This window comes from Homo sapiens, chromosome 11 (assembly GCF_000001405.40).
Source record: "Homo sapiens chromosome 11, GRCh38.p14 Primary Assembly".
Lineage (NCBI taxonomy): Eukaryota > Metazoa > Chordata > Mammalia > Primates > Hominidae > Homo > Homo sapiens.
In genome coordinates, this window is record NC_000011.10 from 97,785,813 (window position 1) to 97,811,284 (window position 25,472).

Sequence of the window (25,472 nt, forward strand, 5' to 3'; positions counted from 1 at the left end):
TTTCCTTCTAACAATCAGGCCCCTCTGCTGCAGGTCTGCTGGAGTTTGCTGGAGGTCTGCTCCATACCTTTTGCCTTGGTATCACTGATGGAGGCTGCAGAACAGCAAAGATTTCTGCCTGTTCCTTCCTCTGGAAGCTGCATCCCAGAGGGGCACCTGCCAGATGCCAGAGCTCTCCTGTATGAGGCATCTGTTGGCCCCTACTGGGAGGTGTCCCCCAGTCAGGATACATGGGGGTCAGAGACCCACTTGGGGAGGCAGGCTGTCCCTTATCAGAGCTCAAACGCTGTGCTGGGAGATCTGCTGCTCTCTTCAGAGCTGCCAGGTAGGGACATTTCTGTCTGCTGAAGCTGTGCCCACAACCGCCCCTTCCCCAAGGTGCTCTGTCCCAGGGAGGTGAAGGTTTTATTTCTATGTCCCTGACTGGGGCTGCTGCCTTTTTTCAGAGATGTCCTGCCCAGAAAAGAGGGAATCTAGAGAGGCAGTCTGGTTGCAGTGGCCTTGCTGAGTTGCAGTGGGATCCCGCCTTTTCCATTTCTAATGTTAATCTATTCTCTTTCTCTGTAATAAACCATAACTATAAATATGACTGATTTACTGAGCTCTGTTAATCCTTCCAGCATATTGTTGAGTCTGAGGGTGGTCTTCAGGACACCCAACATAATTACAATCCTTTTTTAGTAAAGCTCTCTCATTAATCGGCTCATGGATGGCCTAATTTTCCTTTGTATTTATTTTAGTTTCCCTTTAGTAATTTTTTCTTTTCTTTTTTTAAATACAACTTCCACTTCACAATATGTTTAGATTTACAGAAATGTAAACTTAGAATTTCTGTATCTCTCTCACTTTTTCCTGTTTTAACACCCTACATCATTACTGGATGTTTGTCACAATAAAAACCAATTTTGGTGCATGAGTATTACTAAATTGTACAACTAATTCATAATTTATATGTTCTTCCCAATGTTCTTTTTTTTTTTTTTTCCAAGATCTCACTCACGGTACCACTTTACATGTAGTCATGTCTGTCTGTCTAGCCTCCTCTGATCTGTGACAGTTTCTCAGCCTTCTCTTGTCCTTAATAATTTTGTTTTTAGGAATAGTATTTAGGATTTTGAATAATGCTTCTTCTCAATGCTGTGTACTGAATTGTGTCCCTCTCCAAAATGTGTATGTTAAGCTTGAAACTGCCGGGTGATTGTATTTAGACATAAGGCCTGTAAGGAGGCAATTAAGGTTAATTGAAGTTATAAGAGTGGCGATCTGATCCCATAGGACTGGTGTCCTTATAAGACAAAGAAAAAGCACCAGAGCTCACACTCTCTCTCCACACATGCTCACAGAGGAAAGGTTATGTGAGGGCACAGTGAGAAGTGTTCAACTGCAAGCCAGGAAAAGAGGTCTCACTGGAAATACATAAAGCAGGGACCTCGATGTTGGACTTTCAGCCTCCAGAACTGTGAGAAAATAAATGCCTGTTAAGTTACACAACTGTGATATTTTTTATGGCACCCCAAACAGACTAAAACACTAAATTTGGTTTGTCACATTCTTTATCTCATGGCTAGACTGAGCCCATTTTTATTTTTTTACCACATTTTCATTGCCGCATAATAGAGTACATCATTTTGGGGTACATGTGATATTTAATACATTCATATAATTTGTAAAGATCAAATCAGTGTACTTAGGATATTCCTCACATTAAATATGTATTTTTTTCTTTATGCTAGGATCACTCAAATTCTTCTCTTCTAGCAAATTTGAAATATGCTATACATTATTGTAAACTGATGTCACCCAACTAATCTATCTAACACCAAGTCCAATTTCCTCTATCAAATTCTATATTTGTACCTATTAAGCACTTGTTTTTCCTCCCCTCCCTCCCCTCCACCCTTCCAGCCTCTGGTAACCACCAATCTACTCTCTTAGCTCCCACATATGGGTGAGAATATGCAGTATTTCTCTTTCTGTGCTCAATTTATTTCACTTAACATAATGACTGCCAGTTTCATCCATGTTGCTGCAAATGACAAGATTTCATTATTTTTATGGCAGAATAATATTTCATTGAAATATATAGCACATTTTCTTCATCAGTTGTTGCACTTAGGTTAATTCCATATTTTAGCTAGTGTGAATAGTGTTACAATAAAAATGAAAGTGCAGATGACTTTTCAATACATTGATTTTCTTTATTTGGCTATATACCTAGGAGTGGAATTGTTGGACCATACGATAGATCTATTTTCGGTTTTTTCAAGAACCTCTATATTGTTCTGTAAATTGCCTATACTAATTTACATTCCCACCAACAATGTACAAGGGTCCCGCTCTCTCACCATCTTCACCAGCATCTATTATTGCCTGTTTTTAGATAAAAGCCATTTTAACTGGGGTGAGATGAAATCTCATTGTAGTTTTGATTTACATTCTCTAATGATTAGCAATATTAAGCATTTTTTATATACTTATTGGCCATTTCTATGTCTTCTTTTAGAAATGTTTCTTTATTTTGCCTATTTTTAATTGGATTATTCGGGATTATTTTTGTTATTGAGTTGCTTTTGCTACTTACATATTCTGGTTATTAATCCCTTGTCAGATGGATAGTTTGCAAATGTTTTCTCCAATTCTGTGGGTTGTCTCCTCACTTTGTTGGTTGTTTCTTGTGCTATGCAGAAGCTTTTCCACTTAATGTAATCTCAGTTGTCTATTTTTGCTTTGGTTGCCTGCGTGTTGTTGACTTTGGTTTGCAAGTATTATGTTGAGAGTTTTTCTATGTATATTTGTATTAGTCAGGGTTCTCTAGAGGGACAGAACTAATAGAATATATATATAAAGGGGAGTTTATTAAGTATTAACTCACACTATCACAAGGTCCCACAATAGGTTGTCTACAAGCTGAGGAGCAAAGAAAACCAGTATGAGAACTTGAGAACTGAAGAACTTGGAGTCCGATGTTTGAGGGCAGGAGGCATCCAGCATGAGAGAATGATGTAGGGTGGGAGGCTAGGCCAGTCTAGTCTGTTCACATTTTTTTCTGCCTCCTTTATATTCTAGCCTTGCTGGCAACTGATTAGACGATGACTGCCCACCCAGATTAAGAGTGAGTCTGCCTTTCCCAGCCCATTGACTCAAATGTTAATCTCTTTTGGCAACACCCTCACAGACACACCCAGGATCAGTACTTTGCATCCTTCAATCCAGTCAAGTTGACACTCAGTATTAACCATCAGAAGTCTACCCCTTGTCAATGTAAACCCATATGCATCTCCTGAGATTACATGAAATCTTCAAATAAAGACAATAAGAAGGTCAAATTATGCCTAACATAACAGAACTATCCTTCATATATTGTTTTTGATTTACTATTTTTCTAAGTAGAGCCAGCTCTAATGGCTTACATTTGGCCTTTCCCACCATAATGGTACTCATCATACCACTCAGGGAACCAATGTGGGGGTTCTTCTCATTGCTAAGTATATCTATGCCAATTGTGCATTCTGGCACTGGGGAAGTGACCACAGGATGAGTCTGGGGACACACTGGACCCACTGTAAGTCAGATCTGAACTAAAACTCCATTACTTACCTAAGTGCCATAAGCCCCTACTTTAACTGGAGGACTTTGATGATGTTTTGGGTTCCCTGGAATCAACATCAGCTCAGAGCCAGTGTCCAGTAGTCCCCAAAACGTCTGATCATTTCCCTTTCCCCAATGCACAGCTACCCCAGTAAAAGGCCAGAGGTCTCCTTGGGGAAGGATGAAGGAAAGATTCACTGCATAAATTGTCAGTAATGTAGTGGAGTCCTTCCTCAAGGGGACCGGGCCTCCCCTTCATTCAAGGGTTTCTGGGTGTATAAACTAGTTCAAGTCTGCAAATTGATTGAGGGGACGTGATTCTCTGTTTTTATAATTCAAATTAGTTTTTTGTTCATTTAACCTAGAAGTTTTCTGCTTGTATAAATCAAGTAGGAATGCAGTAGGCTTCCTATCAGTTTCACTTCTAGGAACGCCATGATTAATTAGCCAATGCCAGAGCTCTATTTGAGTCAGACTACTTCGATTGCTCCTTTATCTCTGCTGTCCATTATGGTAGCTACAGCCATCTTGCCTTTGACAGTTGAGTGCTGCCACTTAGCCCCTGCCACCTCAGGATCCAATTATTCCCATTGTATTTAAATTTTGTAGTGGAGTGACTCCAGTTCCCACTGTTAGATCTGAAATACAGAGAAGAGCAATTACAGGGCTCTTCAAAGATGTAGGTGCTCCCCTCACAAACCTATTTTGCAAGGCCTTGGTCATAGGGGTATCTTCTGGACCCTTGCAGCTGGAATGAGTAGGTCTAAAGTGACTAATCCACTCTACCATCCCAATCTCCCTAAGCCTTTGGGTCCCTTCTACATTAAACTATGGGAGATCAGGCATTTCCAGCTTGCTCACAATGGGCCATCTTTTTTTTTTTTTTTTTTTTTTTAAGACACTCTTGCTCTGTCGCCCAGGCCGGAGTGCAGTGGTGCGATCTTGGATCACTGCAACCTCCACCTCCCGAGTTCAAGCAATTCACATGCCTCAGCCTCCTGAGTAGCTGGGACTACAGGCATGCACCACCACACTCGGCTAATTTTTGTTTTCTCTTTAGTAGAGACGGGGTTTCACTATATTGGCCAGGCTGGTCTCAAACTCCTGACATCGTGATCCACCTGCCTTGGCCCCTCAAAGAGCTGGGATTACAGGCGTGAGCCACCATGCCCAGCCTATTAGAACCTTTTTTAACCCCCGAAGCTGCAACATTAAATGCAGAGTCACTACTAAGTGGGCCCAAATCAATAAATTCAGCCTGATTCACCTCTACGTTTCTACATTTCTTCCACCATTATCCTACACCCTTAATATCTATTCACATGCCTGTTCTCCAGATTTCTGTTTATATAAATTAGAAAACTCACACAGTTTTTTTGTTTGTTTGTTTGTTTGTTTCAGACAGCATCTCACTCTGTCATCTAGGCTGGAGAGCAGTGACACAATCATAGCTCACGGCAGCCTCATACTCCTGGGCTCAAGCAATCCTCCTGCATCAGCCTCCCAAGTAGCTAGGACTGCATGCACATTCCACCACATGCAGCTATTTTTTTTTTTTTTTAATCTTTGTAGAGAGAGTCTCATTATGTTTCCCAGGCTAGTCTCAAACTCCTGACCTAAGGTGATTCTCCCCTGGTCTTCCAAAGCACTGGGATTATAAGCATGAGCCACCATGTTTGGCCTTAACTTACATATTTTATAGTATCTATTTCTTAACAGGTTGCTATAGGTATTATTACCATTTTGTAGGTTTGTTTTTTGTGTTTCTTAGTAAAATTATATATAAATTACATGCCACAATTAACATATTTGAGTTTTCCAGGTTTGTCCATGTACTTGCTTTACCAGTGGGTTTTATTCCTTCAATTTTTGGTTTGTTATTTTTGCACATCAGTGATTTTTTTCCTTCAGATTGAAGAACTTTTAGCATTTTTTGTAAGATGGTTGAGGTGGTGGTGAATTCTCTCAGTTTTTATTTGTCTGGTAAAGACATTCTCCTTTATATTTGAAATAAAACTGTAATGGATACAATATTCTAGAGTGGCAATTTGCTGTTGTTGTCGTTATTTTTTTCTTTTTGTTTTCTTTTTTTTGTTTGTTTGTTTCTTTTTTCTTTCAATACTTTGAAAATGTCATTTTACTCTCTCCTACCCTGCCTGGTTTCCACTGAGAAGTCAGCTTTCAGATGAATTAAAGCTTGTCATTTATTTCTTTTCTCTTGCTGCTTCTAGGGTTCTCTATTTGACCCTGACCTGTGACATTTGATTATTATATGCTTTGGGGCAGTCTTATTTGGGTTAAATCTCCTTTTGGATTCCCTGACATTCTTGTACTTGGATATTCATATCTGGCTCAAATTTGGAAAATTTTCTGTTTTGATTTCTTAAGAGTGTTTTCTAACCCCTTACTATTGCTCAATTCCCTATTAGACATCAACAGTTCTTAGATTTGATTTTTTTGAGTTAATTTTCTATATCTTATAGGCAATCTGTATCGCTTTTCATTCTTTTTCTTTCTCCACTATGTTGTTTTGTTTTTTTCTTTTGAGACCGAGTCTCGGTCTGTTGCCCAGGCTGGAGTGCAGTGGCGCGATCTCGGCTCACTGCAAGCTCCGCCTCCCGGATTCCCGCCAGTCTCTTGCCTCAGCCTCCCCAGTAGCTGGGACTACAGGCACCCGCCACCACGCCCGGCTAATTTTTTGTATTTTTTAGTAGACACGGGGTTTCACCGTGTTAGCCAGGATGGTCTCAATCTCCTGACCTTGTGATCCACCTGCCTCGGCCTCCCAAGAGTGCTGGGATTACAGGGTGAGCCACCGCGCCCAGCTTCCACTATGTATTTTTAAACAGCCTGTCTGTAAGCTCACTGATTCTTTTCTCTGCTTGACTCATTCTGCTGTTAAGAACTTCTAAAATATTTTTCTGTTCAGCAATCGATTCCTCAATTCCAAGATTTCTGTTTGATTTTTTTTCAAATTATTTCAATCTCTTTGTTAAATTTCGCTGATAAATTGCTGAACTGCTGTTCTATGTTATCTTGGAAATTACTGAACTTCCTTTGAATTCTTGGTCATAGGGCTCACAAATCACTGTCTCAGTGTCAGTTACTGGTTCCTTGCTTTGTCCATTTGGGGAGATAATGATTCTCTGTTTGCCATTGTTCCTTATGGGTGTATGTCTATGTCTTTGTATTGAAGGACTAGTTATTTATTTCAGTCTTCTTTGGTTTGTTTTGGTGTTTTATTGGTTGTATTAGCTTAGAGATTCTTTACCACTAGGTCGTTGCCTTCTTTTTGGCTCTAGTTGGTGCCTTAAGCCAATTTTCACATTGGCTCTAGTAACCATTCAGGGCACTTATCTTCCAAAATAGAGGAAGTCACAAAGAGAGTATCTTGGAAGTATGGGAAAGCTAGTTAGGGGTTCATGCCTAGAGAACCTGTGGGATGAACCTCCTACAGTGTAGTGATGCTGGACAGACACTCTGATTTTGCCATTTTACATAGCAGAGTTTCTAGGGCTAGGAATAGAACTTTGACCTCTCCCTTTGTCCCTGCCTCTCCTCAGAAATATTTCTTCCTTCAGGCACTTGTAATGCTTCCCATTGTTTAAGGAAGGGACAGGTCGCCTGCCAGGGAACCCAAGATGGTGGAAAAGATGGTGGTTGTCCACTTTCTTCTCATTCTTTCCGGTGCAGACACAGTGAGCTGGGGGAAAATTTTCCACATGCTTGGTGCTGGAGAGAATGGAGGAAGGGTTTTCATGGATGTTTAAGTCCCATTCTCTTACCATCATCTCAGAGATTTTTTACTTTTCTGTGACCCCAGAAACTGTCTCATCTTCATATTTGAGTTCTGGGATATTTCTGGTGATAATCTTGGAATTATATATTTGATTTTTGGTTTTCCTGGTAGCGGAAGGCAAGGGGCAGAGGGAAGCCAGCTTTCTTCTATGCTGCCATTTTGAAAGCAGAAGTTCTCACCCATTGTTTTTTGAGAGGACCACAGAAGTGTGATTTTCATCCCATTATATCAAGGATCCATATTATTAAAATGACTTTGTACTGAAGATACTAACCTTGATTGCCTGACTGAAGTAGTACTTAACAGATTTCCACATTGTAGAGTTACTTCTTCCCCTCCTCCCTCTTTCATTTTCTACAATTTGGAGGCAAACCACTATGCACATTCCACATGCAAGGGAAGGGGCAAAAGTTAAGCTTCACCAACATAGGGAGTAGTAGCTACATAAATTATTTAAATTTTGTGTGTACAAGGGATATATCTCTACTCTCTCATTTATTAATTATTCAACTGTTTATTTAGATTTGTATAGATTTATTTTCTGCTTCAGGTTATAATCTATTACTATATTGTGTACTTTGGTATTAAATCATTTTAGCTTTGAGGATTGGCGGCACCTAAACTGCAGAACACACCTTAAAAGATAGGATCAATAATAGCCTATGTCTAACACTGCAGTGCCTCTTACCAACCCATTCCTCTGACTTTCTTCAATGTAGCCATCATCCTAAATTCTGCTTTCATCATTCTCTTGTTTTATTGTAAATATAAATTTTATATATATAATTTTACTTTATCTGCAAGCTTTATTAAATTTTTTTTGTTTAAAAGATATAACAATATATGCAAATATTCGGTGGTATTTTACCCTGATTATCATGTTGCTAAGATTAATCCATATTATTGCAGCTCATAAATTTTTATTACTAACATTTCTTTATATGAACATGGAAATATATAATTTATTGTATGACATATATTAAAGTCTGATGAATTATTTTAGTTAAATGAGAATTTCCTCAGTATATAAGAATATTAAATGGAACACCCAATGAAGACTATAGCTATACTCCTATGTAAGATAAGTCAACACATACGCTTTTAAAGAGAAAAGTCATCTGTGCTATTACTGTATTACCCCTTCAAAAGTAATATCAAGGCCGGGAGCGGTAGCTCACGCAGTTAATCCCAGCACTTTGGGAGGCTGAGGCAGGTGGATCACCTGAGGTCAGGAGTTCAAGACCAGCCTGGCCAACATGGAGAAACCCCACCTGTACTAAAAATACAAAAAAATTAGCTGGGCGTAGTAGCATGTGCCTGTAATCCCAGCTACTCGGGAGGCTGAGGCAGGACAGTCCTTGAACCTGGGAGGCGGAGGTTGCAGTGAGCCAAGATCACGCCACTGCACTACAGCCTGGGCAACAGGCAAGACTCCATCTCAAAAAAAAAAGTAATATCAAAAAAAGACACTTTTTTTACTCCCTGAATTATTTCTTGACATTAAAATTCAAACAAGCATCTGTTTGGTTAATTTATCGTGTCTCTCCGTCAGTAGTCATTATAATTGGATAACTTAAAATTCCCCTTCATAAATTTTTAAAACTCCGTATCCATATTTATTTTTTAAATTAGGAAACAGTAGTGGTCTGCAAAATGGTCATGAAGAATGTCATAACTAAAGAGTGCTATTGATGGAATTTAAAATGTTTACCTTGCAATATATTTTGTATAAGGAAAGAAGAAAGAATCATTATAAATACAGAAATCACTTTCTTCTCTTCGTACTGTGGCTGCCTAAACAGTATGCAGGCTCCTCATTCTCTTATCTATCTGTTATCTACAACAGGCCTGTTCAGGAATGTTCATGTAGTAGAGGAGGAAACCAGCTCTTCTGTGTAACCTGGAGTTCTCAGAGTAGACTTCTACACGAATGGACAGAAGACTGCATTACCCTCTTAGTCAGATATTATTATAGCTTTGTTATCTGCTGCAGGCTGAAGAAGCTTATATAAAATTCTGTCATTAGTACTCTTGAGATAATGAGCCATTATTAATAGAAATGCCATCATGAAACTATTGAATTTCATAAGAAGTTTGAGAAGTTTAGAATTAACTAAATTATGACATAAAAATTGATTGGCATGGCAAAGTAAATAGAATTCAAATAAGTATGGAATTATATGGAAAGAGATACTAATGGCTGAATATAAGAAGAAGGTATAACAGGTAAGTAGAACACAGTGACTAGAAAATGTGTCATTAGATAATCTGTACTGTTTTCTTTGTTTCAACTGATGTAAAAACACAATTTTATGTTATACACTATAACTGTTTTCCAGAGTATTGAATTGGTTGAGACTACTCTGTAAAAATCTCATATAACTTGAAAGAAATTAAAGTTTTGTTTTTTTAAATCTATTTATGCATTAGACGCTATTAAATATATTGTTTAAATACTAGCAATTTGACTAGTCCTTACAGACAAAGAAGAAGAGACAGTTCTGCTGTGGGCATTGAACAATTCATTATCAATCTCTGTGTGTGTGTGTGTGTGTGTGTGTGTGTGTGTGTGTTGTGTGTGTATTTGAGAGACAGGGAGGCTATTAACATCTGTTGAGTAAGTTCATGCACAGAAGTAGTCTTTTTAATATAATCCCTTTTTTGGCTAACATTTCTATAAAATGGGCACTGTTAAATCCATTTAAAGATAAGGAAACAGGCTTAGTGGGGGAGATGACCATTAGTAGAGAAGAACAAAAATGTGAGTTCATGTTAATCATGTTCCAAGCTCATACCATTTTCAACCTCACCTCATTTATTCTTAATTCTCTCATCTTTAAAATAAATAAAATAAAATAATTACTTCTGGATGTAAAAGTCATGGTTCTCTAAACTTTTACGGCTAAAATGAGTGGCTGATTCCATTGTAACAGGTCATAATTAAGATGATTTCTTGAATTTTGAAAGAATTATTTGCCCACTATCTCATTTTGTCACATTACTACCTTGGCAGAAATTATTATTTTTATAGCAACAGAGTTTAAGCTGCCTTACAGTTGTATGACTAATGTGGCTTAAATTTGCAATGCTTTATATGCCTAGGTTCGTTTCCAAATACTGATTTGAAGAGAAGTCTAATGTCATGACAATTATTATTAATTTTAAAAACATAATTATCAAGTATTGCTATGTATCAGGCAATCTACTAGATGCTTTACATGCATTATTTATTTAATGCTCACAGAAAACATATGAGGCCGATAAAAAGACTGATATTTGGCAGAAAACTTATAAAGTAATACAGAACATTTAAGTTTTTAAAAGCAGGATTTGAAACTAGATCTTCCTGGTGTTTATTGAAAAGCCACACTGAAGATGGAATAAGATGGTGGTGTCAAGAAGAAGCAGTGTAGGATTTGATAACAAAGAAGAAAATCTCAGAAATTGAATAGTTAAAAAAAAAAAGGCAGGGGTACGGGGAGCAGTATAGTATATTGCAGCTACTCCTAAACTGTGTATGTTAGAAAGTATGACAGCACAAACTCTGGGCTATATTGGATGAAAGAACTCTTAACATTTAACTCCCCTAATATTATAAGACAAAGTAAAATAAACCTTCGTAGTGTAAAAGTGGCAGTATATTTGGATAGAAAGAGCATTCCAAGGTATCATCTCAATTTTATTCAATTCAAAGTATGCGTTTTCTATCATGCAGGGAATTGTTCCAGATGCTTAAGGAGGACATAAAGATGTATAAAATTCAAAACCTGTATTGGCACAATATTCAGGCTTGAAAAGGTGACAGATGCTGTGTGTAAATTATAATACAAGATATAAAGTGGTAAGATACAAAAAGACTAGTGAGAATAGCACAGTATCTAAAGCTCCATTTTTATTCCATAGGTCAAGTTTGTATTCTTGGATTTGGGCCAATTTGGACAAACAGAGTTGGGATAGTAAACATTCCAAGAAGAGAACAGGATAAACAGAACTGCAGTAAGGTAAAGCATGTTTGGAGAAGAAAAAATATGACTCCTCTGCTATTGTACTAGTGTGTGTGTGTGTGTGTGTGTGTGTGTGTGTGTGTGTGTGTGACTGCAAATGGACAAACTTGGAACAGATAGTAGAACAGGACTGTGGAGGCACTGAGATTTTCTGGTAAGAAATTTATACATTATTCTGTATGTCCTGGAGAAGCAAACTGATGGCTAATTTGTTCTATCCCTGCTGGTGAACAAATATCCTTTATTTGACACTATATGATTTTTTTTAGAGATTACAATGGATTGATCAAATCTCAGATGCCATCCTACTGTTATTTATAGTTATACAAATAACTGTATATATAACTACATGTAGTTATATATATAGCATACAGTTATTTATATATATGAATATATATTATATAATTATATATAATAATTATTATAAGTTGTAGTTATAGAACTATAATATATTATAGTTAACTATATATTATATTTATATCATACATATATTAAACATATATTATATATGTATATGATACATATATTGTAGTTATATATACATATATTGTTAACTACAATATATTGTAGTTATATATATATAGTTATTTACGTAACTATAAATAACAGCAGTTAATTCAGATTTTCCTCCTAGGCTTTATTTTAAAATACTTTAATTGTATTTGTACTTTTTCCCTGAATCAGCTATTCATATGCAGACATCAAAACGTTTTTTAACATCCCAAACAAGCTTTGCTCATTGTTGAGGAGAGATAAATAATTGTGTAAGTCAGGTTTCTCCAGAGAGACAACCAATAGGATACTCTATATAGGATACTATATACTGTATACTATATATACAACCAATAGGTACGTATATATAGAGAGAGGGGAGAGCAGAAAGATAGAGAGAGATGAGACTGAATTTATTAGGGGAATTGGCTGTCTTGATTACAGAGGCTGAGAAGTCTCACGACAGGTCATCTGCAAGCTGGTGACCCTGGTATGCTGGTAGTGTGGCTCAGTCTAAATACAAAAGCCTCAGAACCAGAAAAGCTGATGTTCTAACTCTAAGTCTGAGGCTGAAGGCCTGAGAACCCAAGGGGTCAGGTCCTGAAGTCCAAATGCTAGGGAGCCTAGAGTGGGTGTCCAAGGACAGGAGAGGAAGACTGTGGCCAGCTCCAGCAGATAGATTGACATAATCACCTTTTCTCATTTTTCTTTTCTCCAGGCCCCAAGAAGATTGGTTGGTGCCCACCCATATGGAGGGCAGATCTTCCACCCTCAGTTCACTAAGATTCACATGCAAATCACCTCTGGAATCATCCTCACAGACATACTAAAAAATAATGTTTTACCAGATTTCCAGGTATTTCTTAATCCATTCAACTTGATACCTAAAATTAATCATCATGATGATACACAGTATTATTGGTTTTTACTTGGTCTACAATGATAATAGAGTTGACTTTTGAACAACATGAGTCTGAACCGTGCAGGTACAATTATACGTGGATTTCTTTTCTGCCTCTGCCACCCATGAGACAACAAAACCAACTCCTCCTCTTTTTCCTCCTTCTCAGCCTATTCACCATGAAGATGATGAAGATGAAAATATTTATGATGGCTCTACTTCCACTTAGTGAATGGTAAATATATTTTCTCTTCCTTATGATTTCCTTAATAACATTTTCTTTTCTGTAGCTTAAATTTTTGTAAGAATACACCATATAATACATATAGCATAAAAAATATCTGTTAGTTGATAGTTTATGTTATTGGTAAGGCTTCTGGTCAACTGCTGCTATTAGTAGTTAAGCTTTGGGGTTAAGAATACAGCATATAATACATAAAGCATATAAAATATCTGTTAGTTGGCTGTCTATGTTATTGGTAAGGCTTCTGGGCAACTGCTGCTATTAGCAGTTAAGCTTTGGAAGAGTCAAAAATTATCTATGGATTTTCAACTGCTCAGGGAGTTGGTGCCCCATCTCCTGTTGTTCAAGGGCCAACAGTATAGCAATATTTATGCCATGGTTTTATAAATAGCAAAAATTACCACAACTTTGCTTTTCTTTCTCTCAAAAGTGAGTCATGCTTTTAAGAAAATATTAACCTTCATTAAATTAGTTTTAAAGTTTTACCTTTTTATTGTCAATAATTGATCCATCTCCATTAAAAATTATGTTATTAGAAAAGAAGAATTTGTGTGAAGTACAAACCTGCCACGCTTGCCATTGCTAAAGAGTATAATGCTTTTGGCATGAGGTGGCCCCATTTCTCATAGAAGGCAAGCTGCTTTTACTGATACCACCTAACAAACACTAAGCCAAAGCTAGTCAATTGGCATGATAATTTAATAAATATAAAACAAGCCAAATAAGCACACTTTCAAAGGGAATATTTTTTAAAAATCTGAATTAGAACTTTATACCAAAATTCTGTTACTCTGCTGATAAACTTGACTTCAGAAATCTGCAGCTGATTCTGTATTTCCAAATATCAATTGTCTCTACCTTCAAAGTTGAACTCGAAGAAATAACATATTTCTTTCCACATTGTGTTGGCATCTGCATTAAGTTTATATTTCATTACATTAGGGGCACACATACTGTCAGGTCTGGCAGACATAGAGCAACACAGGCTATCTCTGCATTGTGGATAATATTTTGGTAGGCTGGCAGGGATTGGGGATTTAATTGATCCACAAATTTTATAAATAATTATGTTCCTTCAATCAGGTGAAACAGAAATGGTCATAGGGGAAATGTAGATGTTTTCTTTGTCTGATCATGGGTCCAGAGGGCCTCGTAACATATTCGGTGCTGAACAGAACCTTCTGAGCAGACTATGAAAGATTGAAGGTTTGAAATACAATGATCTTTTCCATTGTAATTCCAAATTCCAATATCAACATACAAATTCCATGTTCCTAATAACATATCTTAGTTTTCTAATTGGTTGTTTTGAGCTATTTCATATTATTTTCATGAGGATCACTTCCTTCCATTAAGCAGAATGGAACATTTCCCCTCAGGTTTATTTTTAGTTTATCTATAGTGAAAAATAGCATATTTAAAAATCAAATAGTCTAATGATTTTCCAAATGCATTCCTAAAAGTGATTTTTAATATTATTCCATTTCTTTTGGCTGAACACTTGTATATTTATAATAAACCTAGAAGCTCAAATGTCAACTTTTTGTTGTCCCATCAAAAGGAGACCAAATCACTTTATTGCCTCACCCTTCCCATTTGGCAGTGTTCCACTAGAATGAATTAGTAAGTGGTACACTGGATCTTCTACCCTAAGAGAAATGATGGGACAAAGTATATTTTAGAAATACTTCTCTAAGATAGTTCCCCTAATGAGGAAGTTACTGCCATTTTTCTTAAAAAATGCTGCAAACTTGAGTCTTTTTCTTTACTGCCTGGATTACAATTTCCTATTGGTCACCACTTCTCAAAACTGTTTTTGTCAGCTATTATTAAAACACTGGATAGAAATCATGACTACTGATAATGATAAAGCAGAACTAGTTAAGTTACTCAGCTTGGTCATCAGAAGATAATGATGATGGTTATTTGAAAACTTATTAAAAGCAATAAGAGCCATATGTGATTACATTTCTTTAATGCTTCTCTTGTTTTGGCTTAGCATCTATTCAGAAGTGTATCATTAGCATTCAGAAGAAATTATAAAAAAGATAATGACTGGAAAATAACCTTTTAAATGACTGCTGTTATATTTTTAAAGAATGATTCATTGGCAATAAAGCTTTAAAAGTCTACTGCATCATATATCATAGTGAACATGTACTTCCATGTTAGCCAGTTTCAAGAAAATGCTCCCAAGGAATGTGGACTTCACCTGACAAGGAACCCAAGCTCATTACCACTAGAGTAATCAATAACCTCTGCTAATGTGTTCAGCTGGCGACATAGGCCAGATCAATAAACCCCGCCACATGCTTTTGTTTTAGGAAATGAAGCCTTTTAGTTCTTAATTAAGGGAGAGCCCTCACATCCGTAATGATTTCTACAATGAATATTACCACAGAGGACATGGGAATGAATCTGCATTTTTCAATAAAGAACTGCATAAGGAAGGAGAAAAAAAAGGTTAAAAATAAGAGGACTTTGTTTATTGCTTCCTTTGTTTACATTTTAAAATGCAAACCCATAGGAAGTTGTGTTCCCCTTGAAGTGAGAGAATGGCAAAAATTCAATTTTAGAAGCACAGTGGCAGGGAGCAAAAATTGTTTGTTCAACAAATCTCCATATAGTAATCAAGTAAGGCACCATATTTCAAGAAGAGCCCAGTGAATCAACTGCTTGAAGAATTTACAAAGAGAGGACACAGAAAACTGAAGGAAATTATAGCAAAATATTAGAGCATGGCACTAGAATTTAACATAATCTAATCTAATTCAACATTTTATACTGTTTAGTTTTAAAGAATTAGGACATTTTTATAATATAAAATTATATTACAGGATCATTTAGGATCTTAAGAGTATAGAGCCCCCACATAGTTTACAATAAGGAAACAGTTTACAAAATATTCTATTTACATTCAGTAAAAACGATGACATAATATTGGACTCCATACCTGACTCTAAGACACACTGAACTTTTTGAAAGCTAAAAGACCAACTGGTAGATGGCAAAATTGTTTCTATTACTCTTTAATCACCATTTTCTTTAAATTGAGTATAAAATCACAGTGTTCTTAAAAAGTACATATGAAAATAAAAGATACCCAACTCCTTTGTACAAATAAGGCAAAGAGTTAGAGGATTCAGTTCTTTTCTGGGTCAGTATCTAATCATTCTTTCTTGATTTTTCCATGTACTTATTTATTAGACTTGGCTGAGTGTGACAGACTTCCTTAGATCGGGATAATTTCATCTACTCATTTATTCATAAGATGGAACATTCTGACTCAAGTCTTTATAAACTATTAATCTTAGCTTTGATGTCCTAAAATGTGGTTATTTGTAAGTGCATTCTCATTAATTTTGGACATATTTGCAATTTAAACATGTTTTCTGCTTATAAGTGAATTTAGCTCCCTAACAGATTGAAATAACCTCTTATATTTCCCAACTGTTTTTTTTTCTTTGTTGCAGATTTAGATCAAATTCTGCCTTTGAAAACTTCACCTTTTTATCTACATGAAAGATGGGGACAGATGTTTCCAATGCTTACTATAGCTTCAAAAATGTTTCAAAATCCTAATAGGTTCTATGCACATGAACTCTTTTGCTTACACTGATGTATTTTTAAACGTATTGATCACATACCAGATATGTTGCCCAACTAGCTATATAATCACTGGGACTCTATAAGAAGAAAACTTGGACAAAAGAAAGTGAAAGCATTGTAGCTTAGGACCACTTCAAACCAGCTGAGAGCACTTACAGAGCTGTATTTTTAAATAAATATACCCATAGGATTTGAAAAATATTGACAATAAAAAATCCTACTAAGATGAATTACAACTCCCTTATATGTTCTTCATTACATTTTAAAAAATCCTTTGTAGTATACTTTATTGTGTGTGTGTGTGTGTGTGTGTGTGTGTGTGTGTGTGTGTGTGTGCGCCTAAGCTCAGGAGGGAGGAAGAATGGGAGAAAGAAGAGGGAAGGTGAGGAAGTGAGGAAGGAGAAGAAAGTGGCCAAGGCGGATTCATGAAAATTTTAGTTAACACATGACAATCTGGCTGTCTCTAACCACACTACAGCAAAGCTAGCTCTTCTCAATTATTCGTCTTTTTCCCCAACTTTGGTTGCTTATTTGTTTTGTTGTATTCCATTTAATGAACACATGTATGTATAAGGTTTAGCCAAAGTCATTTCATATATGTCTACTCATTTAATTTTTAAGATAAGTCTATGGTGAGTGTACTGTTATTACTATCCTGACTTCAACAATGAGGGGACTTGAAATTAGAATTAAATCATGATTGTACAAGGCAACTAAAAACTGGCAAAGCTGGGTTTTGAACTCAGTTAGCACTCTACAATACACTGTCTCTCCATTTGTTGTTTACCAAAACTTCGTAATTCCTTAAGAATTGCGGGGAACCTGAAAAACGCTCTGCTTTTCTTTTTGACTTACCTCTAACTTAAGTCTTAGACATAATTTTGCAATTACTGGGAAAATATGGTAACAATTATTCAATAAAAGAAAAAATAGATTTAAAGAGAAACATTAGATACTCTTTCTAGATTTCTATCAATGCTTTTTTTTTAAAAGTTCATTTGAGGTATCAGTTTTTGTTCATTTTCCTCCAAATGTATACATGGAATACTTGTAAACATCATATATTACTTCATCATAAGCTCACTTATACTTGCCTACATAGAATAAAAAGTGGTGATTAGCTTATGGGAAGTGAATAAATAACTATTCACTTGAAAAGGTGAAGTGTTTCATAATCAATGAAAATTGTTGAGGGCATTATAGACTGTCTTTAAATGCTCATTTTGAAAACTGGCACATAAAATGAAAGAAAGTAGGATGAGATTAATCTTGCCTCTTGGTCTCCATTTGACTATTTTCTTAAACTTTGGCCCTTGCAAAAAGGCAAGTGTTTTCCCATCCCCTAAATAGTAGCTTTGAGCCATACACCTAATACAGTCACAGAAAATGAAGGTTTATGAGGGTTCAAATTGTATTTTTTACTGTTAAAATGGACAAATGAAATACGATCTAGGCTGAACATAAACTAACCTTAAATGAGAAACATTTTTAGTAGGTTGTTAGCCTTCAGCCCTGTAATTGCTAACCTTAACACACTTAGAATAAAGAATCATTTCATAGCACTCTGAGGAAATACAAATCTTAGTATTTATTTAATGAGAAAATCTTTTTTTGTAAGAGAAAATTATACTACTTGTGAAGTGATTTTTCCCCAAATAGCTTATTTTTGAACCCTCAACCACAGAATTTTTTAATGTGAGACTTGTTTTTATGGCATCGTTTGCTAAGTATTTGTCTAAAATACCTTAAATAAGCAAATAGGATGATTATACCCATGCAACTATTGCTGGAGTGATCAAAGTGACATGAGATTTATTTTGTATGCTTTGCATTTGTTAAAATCATAAGATAGTATTATAGAATGAGCTACAAGAAAATTTAAAGCACAAGAGGTATGATACAAGGAAAATGACATAATTCATTGAATACCTGGAATGTACAAAGCATTTTTCTTATTAACGAAATAAACAAATGAAGTAATTATTTCTTCTTATTACAGATGAAGTAAACTGAGGCTTAGAAAATGTAACTTTCCTAAGGTTAAATAGAAGTAATAAAAGTTGGTAAGTGAAAGAACAAGAATCCCCTATATTTAAATGCAATAGTCATTTTCTTTTCACCACTGACTAGAACATGTTACCCTCCCAGAAGTCTCTAAACGCATACCTTTCATTTTTGGAGGAAAAAGTGGAGGCATGAGAGATTAAGTACCTGAATAAGGTTTTACGTAAGACATGGACAAGTATAGGAATGGGTCTGGGTTCTCTATATTCATTCTAAAATTCATGCGTTACATTTTGGTATAATATTGTTGGTTTTGCAAGATCTGTCTGTTTTTATGGCACCATTTTCTCCTACTTTATAAAATTTATGAAGCAAAATGAAACTCATGAATATCTGAGAGCAGTGGGGAGAAGTTTACATTTAATAGCTTTTTTTCCTCTCCTGGAATCTATAATTAGCAGTAGAGAACAATAGATCATTAAAAAATCCAGCAATGATATTTGAATTAATATTTTTATTCTTCCTGGTAAGCAACAAAATTCTAAGTAGTTGGTACTTGAAACCTATATGTTTCACACAAATTGCCATCATGTTAATGTGAAATATATTTTATAATTGAAGACTCAAGTAAGAAAAGCCCCAGAAACAAAACCCTGCTGTACTGTAAATCACAGATGAAATATGTTTAATGGTTGTAATTTTCAAATGGCCTACAGGCAACTGGAATGCTTTTAGGATCTTCATACTGGTATCATAGCAATAGATAATTGAATTTTTTATGGCCCCATTATTTGTTAGTATTTTAGTAATCAAAACCATTAGCCAATGTGCTGAGCTGGTGGCAAACTGGAGTCAATAATCTTGCCACATGCTTTGGTTTTAGGAAATGCACCTTATAATCTCTTAATTAAAGGCCATTCTTTCATTCCCATTTGAGTTCATTAGACATCTAAGAATATTCAAGAGGAACAGAAAAGTAACTTTAACATTGGTAGATAGTAAGTAAATCACGTATCAATTAAAACATATAGGTTACTACTATATATATCCTAGTTCAAGAAAACCTCATGCCAAATATGTTTACCCTCAAATTAGAAAATTATTACTTAAATAATTATTAGTAGTAGTATTTTTCTGCAGCATTTTAAAACTTTGATTATCACACTGTAAGGCATTTTAAACCTAGTCAACTAACGAACAATCCACTTTCCTCAAAAGTTATAGAAAGCACATCAATCTCAATATACTTGTTTTCTCAAATTCTACTTTCTTTAACTTAAAAAAAAAGTAGTCATTTTCAGATGTCATTAAATGCAATTATTGAATTTTGTTCTCTGTAAACTAACCTAACATTGTAGGAATCAAAAGATCATTTGTTGGTTTCTGTGAGTCTAATCATGACATTTGTTGGGTCATTATTTAAGAGTTGTGTTTCCGATGGAATCCAGTATATTCCTTCCTGTGATTTTTTAAGTACAGGAGACACAATTAAGGTAGCTACAGCTAATGCCAACAGTTAAAGCTAACCCAGTTAGGATGGCTCTCAATTAGAGGAACCAATTACGGTTTCTACAAGACAATCATTTTCACAGCTAAAAGAGTTCTCCTGAATCCTTATCCATTGTCATTTTTTAAAAGAAATTTATTTGTTATTACCTGAGTTTTGTCTGATTTACATTACTCTAAAGTGAAAGTCATAATAGGCTAATATTAAAGGTTTAATAATAATGAACTCAAAAGTCAGAAAATATGAAGGTTAATATTCTAAAAGTAAGAGTCACCATGCACATTTATTCAACAGTCTCTCCAACAAAAGTCTTCCATATATAGCTGGAATAATTTACCATTGTTTGAATTATTTCATAAATTCTTATAGGAAGCCTACATTTCTCAGGTACTTATATTATTTCATTGTTGTTCAGTAGGTAGAACACAAGGTCTGTATCTGGCTAACTTGATTAATTTCCATTATCAGGAAGAAACTGTCTTTTTCTTACTATAATGTAGCCAGCTGATCTATGCCTGGAACCCAGAGGATTCATGTGGCATCTCTTGGTTACTGTGAAAACATTAGGTAAAAACTACATTGACTCAATAAAGTCAGGACAAATAAATATGTAAACCTTTCAAGAATAAGTTTAATTCTCAAAAGATTTTAAAAAATAGTAATAAAGTGAGTTGCTGGCTTGGGTAAAAGGATGCAGTGGGTAGTAAAAATAGGAAATAATAAACAACTATAGCCTTAAAGCTATATATAGAAATGAAGAATTTAGTGGCATTAAATGTGTGTATTAGAAAGATTATATATGTATATATTAACCTATATATATTAACTACTATATCTCTCTACTCCCTTTTGCCCTGCTCTTCTATATGAGGTGTATCAATGTTTAAATTTACAAATTAGTCTATAGGTCATAAAACCACAATAAGCCCATCTGGATTTGATGGGGAAGCTTTCATATTGCCTGAACATCCTGAACTATTAGACTTAATGAAATCAGTAATGAGAATCTGGGGAGAGAGGAAGAGTATTAGTGTTTTATGAAATACATTTGTGCCATATTAAACAGAGATATACTATTTTGTATGGGTGTTAAATACAGTATAATGGTGAAATGGATGCAGGAATTTTAAATATGGAAATTGATATAGTTTGAATATTTGTCCCACCCAAATCTCATGCTGAATGTTAATCCCCAATGTTGGAAGTGAGGCCTGGTGAGAAGTGTTTGGGTCAAGGGGAGCAGATCCCCTTTGGCTTGTGCAGTCTTCATGATAGTGAGTTCTTGTGAGATCTGATCATTTAAAAGTGTACAGCACCTCCTCCTCTCCTCACTCTTTCTTGATCCTGCTCAGGCCATGTCATATGCTCGTTCCCCCTTTGCCTTCTGCCATGATTGTAACCTTTCTGAGGCTTCCCCGGAATCTGAGTAGATGCCAACACCTTGCTTCTGGTAAAGCCTGCAGAAGTGTGAGTCAATTAAAACTCTTTTCTTTATACATTACCCAGTCTCAGGTACTTCTTTATAGCAATGTGAGAACTGCCTAATCCAGAAAATCGGTACCAAGAGTGGGTGTTGCTATACAGATACCTGAAAATGTAAAAGTGGCTTTGGAACTGGGTAATAGGGAGAAACTGGAAGTATTTGGAGGATTTATAAGAAGACAGGAAGATAAGAAGAGTTTAGAACTTCTTAGAGACTGTTTAAAAGATTGTGACCAAAATACTGATAGTGATATGTACAGTGAAGTCCAGGTTGATGACGTCTCAGATGGAAATGAGAAACTTACTGGGACCTGGAACAATGATCATGCATGTCATGCCTTACCAAAAAGTTTGGCAGCATTCTGTCCATGCCCTTGGAATCTGTGAAAGTTGGAGCTTCATAATGATAATTTAGAGTGTCTGGTGAAAAAACTTGTAAGCATCAAAGCATTCAACATGTGTTCTGGCTGCTTCTAATAGCCTATCCTCAGATGGAGGGGCAAAAGAATAACTTAAAATTGTAACTAATATTTAAAAGGAAAGCCCAGCATTTATGTTTCAAAAATTTGCAGCCTAGCAAAGTGTCAAGAAAGAAAAAGCTTTTTAGGGGGAGGAATTCAAGTGGGCTGTGGAACAACCACTTACTAGAGATGTTTGCATAACTGAAAGGGATTCAAGGCTAATATCCAAGACAATGGGAAAAAAGGCCTCAAAGACATTTCAGAGACATTTGCAGCAGTCCCTCCCATCACAGGCCCAAAGATCTAGGAGGGAAGAATGGTTTCATGGGCCTGGCCGAGGGCCCTGCTGCCCTGTGTAGCCTCACGGCACTGCTTCCCTCATCCAGGCCACTCCAGCCTCAGTTCAGAGGACCTCAAGTACAACTCAGACTACTGCTTTAGATCGTATAAGGCATAAGCGTTGGCAGCTTCCACATGGTGTTAAGCCTGCAGGTGCACAGAGTACAAGAATGAATGAGTCTTGGCAGCCTCCAGCTAGATTTCAGAGGATATACAGAAAAGCTTGGGTGTCCAGGCAGAAGCCTGCTGCAGAGGTGGAGCCCCTGCAGAGAAGCCCTAGTAGGGCAGTGTCAAGAGGAAAGGTGGAGTTGGAGCCTGCCCCCACATGGCACTGTGGCACTGCCTTTTGGAGCTATGAGAAGGGGATTACCACCCTCCAGACCTGAGAATGGTAGATCCACCAGCAGCTTACACCTTGCATCTAGAAAGGACAGTCATTCAACAACCTGTAAGAGCAGCCATGAGGGCTGTACCCTGCAAAATCACAGAGGTGGAGTTTCCCAAGGCCTTGGAAGCCTACCACAAGCATCAGTGTGTCCTGGATGTGGGACATGGAGTCAAATGAGATTATTTTGGAGCTTTACAATTTAATGACTTCCCTACTGAGTTTCAAACTTGCATGGGGCCTATAGCCCCTTTCTTTTTGCCAATTTCTCCCTTTGGAACAGAATGTTTACCTAATGTCTATAACCCCATTGGATCCTGAAAGTAACTAACTTGTTTCCAATTTTATAGGCTCATAAGTAGAATGGATTTGTGTTGTTTCAGATGAGACTTTGGACATTTAATGCTGGACCGAGTTAAGACATTGGAAGACTTTTAAGAAAGCATGATTGTATTTTGAAATGTGAGGAGGGAGATTTGGGAGAGGCCAAGGGGGAAATGATATAGTTTGAATATTTGTCCCTGCCCAAATCTCATATTGAATTATAATCTCCATGCTGGATTAGGGGCCAAATGGGAAACGTTTTGATCATGGGGGCAGATCACTCATGGCTTGGTGCTGTCTTCAGAGATGGCGAATTCTTGTGAGATCTGCTCATTTAAAATGTGTGGTACCTCCCCAACACACACACTGTCTCTATTGCTCTTGCACTGGTCATGTGATATGCCTGCTCCCCTTCCCCTTCCACCATGATTGTGAGATTCCTGAGGCCTCCCCAGAAGCCAGGCATATGCTGGTACCATGCTTCCTGTAAAGCCTACAAAACCGTGAGCTAATTAAACCTCTTTTCTCTATAAATTACCCAGTCTCAGGTATTTCTTTGTAGCAATGCAAGAATGACTTAATACAGGAACTGAAGAGATAATTTGTCTCTCTTCTCTCAGATATATTCCTCAGTTTTTCTTTATTCTCTATGTCAAAGAAGCAGGACTCAGAAGTCTATATTTCTACAATCATTTGCCTATTGTTTTCCAGACTGATTTGGCCAATGGAATTCCTATAAGGTCCCTGTTATGGATTGAATGTGTCCCTCATAAAATTCACATATTCAAGCCCTAACCACAGAAGTATTGGTACTTGGAGGTGTGGCCTTCAGGAGGTAATTAGGTTTAGATGAGGTCATAAGTGTGTGGCCACCATAATGTTGTTAGTGCCCTTGTGAAGAGACAAAGAGACAGAGTGCTCTCTTCATCTGTTATAAAAGAACACAATAAAAACACAGCTGTCTTCAAGCCAGGAAAACAGTTTTTGTCAAGGAATGGAATTAGCCAGTAACCTTGATCTTGGACTTCCCAGCTTTCAGAACTGTGAGAAATCAATAACTGTTGTTTAAACCACTAGTCAATGGTATTTTGTGATGGAAGCCCAAGCTGACTGATACAGGGCCATTATTTCAGGAAAGATCTCTAGGTATTGTTGTGGCTTCTCTGAGAATCCAGATGTAACTGACACCCCCTCCATCCAGAGTTCTTTTACTAAAAAGCATAGCTTCTTCATTCTTGTGTCATAAGCTTCTCCTTTTGTCCCTTCAGAACTGAAATAGTAGCAGTTTTATTGCTAAACTTTGAATTGCTTCACTAATTGGCTTACCAATAGTTTTGTTATATGAGTAACAAATATGTTTAATTAAATTCCTAATCTTATAGATTAGGTATGCTAGTAATTAATTTTTACAGCTCCCTTCATTTAGGAAAAATAATTTTGCTGTGTATAGAATTCTGGGTAGACAGCTGTTGTTGCTGTTATTGTTTTTGTGGCTACTGGTTTTTCTTAGCACTCTAAAGATGGCACTTCATTGTCTTTAGCTGGCATGGTTTCTGATGAAAAGTTGGTTGTATTTCTTATATTTCATCCTGTAAGTAGAGACTGAGGTAAGTAGTTTTAATATTTGGACATAGATATATCTTTTCCTTTTGATGGGCCTTAAATGAGAAGCTTTGTTATTCTAGCTGGAATTTAAGTTAAGTCTGAGAAATTTTATTGCTGATAACCCTCAGTGCACTAAGTTTTTCACATGCCTGTTGTGAATATCTTGCTTCATTCACATTGCCTTGCCAGTCTGCACTTGGCCTTCACCAACTAATAAACTATTCTAGCTGAACTCTATTTTTCTTATATCTAGTTTTATCTATAGCAGGCAAGTGAGTGCTTATGTCTTCTTTCCCCACGCAGTTACCTGTCTCTTCTTAGACTTTGGGCCAGATCAAGGGTATTTGTCCACAATTCTTTAGTAGATTCAAATAAGTTATAAAGTTCATGTGAGTCTTGGTTTCTTTGGATTAATTTTAAAAAACAAAAACAAAAACAAAACCACAAACAACCTATTTTTTGTTCTCCACTTCCCAGAGCAGAAGTCAGAAGTTCAGTGATATGTTTCTAACTCATTACCCAGACATCTATTTGGGCTTTTGTTGACTAAATATCATGAACTGTGCTCTGTGCTAGTTTTTAAGTATACAAAGATTTTTTGAAGATGGAATAGGCCTTGTGCTCAAAAAGATTTAGTCGTTTGGAGATATTATACTCACATATACACAAACATACAATTGCTGTGGCAAAAATAAGGAATCAACAGGGCCACACCAAGACATGGACAT

General features: G+C 36.3%; 1 long non-coding RNA gene across 1 annotated transcript; it reads left to right on the forward strand.

Moving 5' to 3' along the window:
- Positions 1-11,304: 11,304 nt before the first annotated feature.
- LOC105369453 (uncharacterized) lies at positions 11,305-16,579 on the forward strand. Its single transcript, XR_947942.2, has 4 exons — positions 11,305-11,388; positions 12,602-12,739; positions 12,954-13,019; positions 16,502-16,579. It is a non-coding gene; the product is annotated as an uncharacterized LOC105369453 (long non-coding RNA).
- Positions 16,580-25,472: the final 8,893 nt, after the last annotated feature.